The following is a 2,309-nucleotide window of genomic DNA, read 5'->3' on the forward strand; positions in this document are numbered from 1 at the left end:
TTACCTTCAATAGTGGCAAAATTATCTCTCTGTGTCATTGACTATCATTACAAAATTATGAATCTTTATTTAGTATTTTAAAGGCAAAAATGATAACTATTCTTTCTGATGCTTTCTTTTTTCAAATTTGGAGTCCTTTTAAGACAGTTTCTTGGTCATTTTGACTTGACACATTTAGTCTTTGAGTACATTCTTGGCTACTGCCATCATAAGATGTTTTAGACTCTGGAATAATGTACTGTTACAAGCCCTCTTCTTTTGAGTGAGAAATAATATTTAGAAATATGCTAGGTGCTAGCTGAGCTCACTGCTAGTGGACCATCATCACTTGATTTTTGTTAGATCTTTCAGTGTATTTAAACGTTGTCCAGTGTTGGTTGTGAATAACCCTTGGCTTTGATTGTGGCTGTGGATGAAATTCAGCACCTACAGCCACCAGTAGCCTTAGCTCACCACCCACTGTCTCAATATCATGGGTAAAACCCAGGCTCTGACAGGCACTGTGGACCCTGGCCCAGATGTCCTGCTCCGATGCAGCAGATTGTGTGGTCTGACTTCTGGCTTGGGATCCCTAACCGTGTCTCCTGTCCCTAGGACACCCAGTTGCCCTGAGCCTGATGCCCATGCCTCTAGGACCTTAGAGATAAGCCACTTGGTTGTCCCCATCTTTCAAATAAAGCTTTTTGTGCAATTCAAATCCAAGCACTAATAATGACTTTATATTAATATTTCCAATTCAATTTGAACATTGGGGGCTTTTCTCTTAATTTACCTTAACAAAGCAAAAAAATGTGCACCACTAATAAAGATACAATATAGTGTTAATCCCATTCACAAGGCAGGAGCCCTCATGACTTAATCACCTTTTAAAAGCCCTATCTCTTAATATTGTTGCATTGAGAATTAAGTTTCAACATAAATTTTGGAAGGTAAAGAAATATTCAAACAATAGTATTCTGTCCCTGTGCCCCTACCCAAATGCATGTTTTTCTCATATACAAAGCATATTTTTTCCATCTCAATAGCCTCAAGATTCTTAACTTGTTTTAACATCAACTTTAAAGTTTAAAATCCAAAGTCTCATCTAATTATTATCTATTCAGATACAAGTGAGACTCACTGTGTCATTCATTCTAAGGAAAATTACTCTCCAGCTGTGAGCATGTGAAATCAAAGAGGTTATGTGCTTCTGAAATACAATTTCGAGACAAGCGTAGGACAGCCATTTCCATTCTAAAAGGAAGCAATAGGAACAAAGAAAGGAATAATAGGTTCCAAGTAAGTCCAAATCCTAGTAAGACAATTTCAAATCTAGATGCTTGAAAATAATTCTGACTCCTAGCCTCACCTTCCAGATGCACTGTGGCAGTGGTTGTGTTCCCAGGGCTCCAGAGGACCCCACACCCATGGCTTTGCTCAGTGAGGCCTATGCAGCTCTCATGGCTTACTGCCCATGGCCTGTAATTCTCCCGGGCTGGAGTTGCATACCAGTGGATCTACAGTTCTATAGATCTTGGGGATGGTTCCTAAGCTGTGAGTCCACTAGGCATTGCCCCACTGAAGATTCTCTGTGATGGTCCGACTTTTGCAGCATTTCTCTGCCTGAGCCCCAAGGCTCTTGGAGGCATCCTTTGAAATTCAGGTGGAGTAGCCATGTCTCCACAGCTCTGTGCACCTTCAGATTTAGCAACACATGGGAGCTGCCATGGTTTATGGCTTGTGCCTTTTAGAGCAACAGACTGAGCTGTACATGGGCCCACTTTGGCCACAGTTGGGGTGGCTAAAAATCACTGCACTGGAATGCAGGGAGCAGAGACTTGAGGCAGTGTTGAAGAGTGAGCCTCAAGGTTTCATGGTCACCCTGTGCATTTTTCATAAAACTGTTCTGCCCTCAGTGTCCTGGTACTCTCAGCCTGTGATGTGAATGATGGCACCAAAAATCTCCAGAATGCCTTCTGGGTCATTATTTGATATGGTTTGGCTGTGTCCCCACCCAAATCTCATCTTAAATTTTAGCTCCCATAATCCCCACTTATCAATGGAGGGACCCAGTAGGAAGTAATTGAATCATGGGGGTGGGTTTTTCCTATGCTGTTCTCGTGATAGTGTAAGTCTTACAAGATCTGATGGTTTTATAAAGGGCAGTTCCCCTGCACACACTATCTTGCCTGCCGCCATGTAAGATGTGCCTTTGTTCCTCCTTCACTTTCCACCATGAATGTGAGGCCTCCCCAACCATGTGGAACTGTGACTCCATTAAACCTCTTTTTCTTTTTTAAATTACCCAGTCTTAGGTATGTCTTTATTAG

General features: G+C 41.8%; 1 non-coding gene across 1 annotated transcript; it reads left to right on the forward strand.

Moving 5' to 3' along the window:
- The first annotated feature begins 372 nt into the window (after nt 1-372).
- On the forward strand, nt 373-499 carry LOC124900505 (small nucleolar RNA ACA64). Its single transcript, XR_007068447.1, has one exon. It is a non-coding gene; the product is annotated as a small nucleolar RNA ACA64 (small nucleolar RNA).
- The last annotated feature ends 1,810 nt before the right edge of the window (nt 500-2,309 follow it).

The sequence above is a fragment of the Homo sapiens genome, chromosome X, assembly GCF_000001405.40.
Source record: "Homo sapiens chromosome X, GRCh38.p14 Primary Assembly".
NCBI lineage: Eukaryota > Metazoa > Chordata > Mammalia > Primates > Hominidae > Homo > Homo sapiens.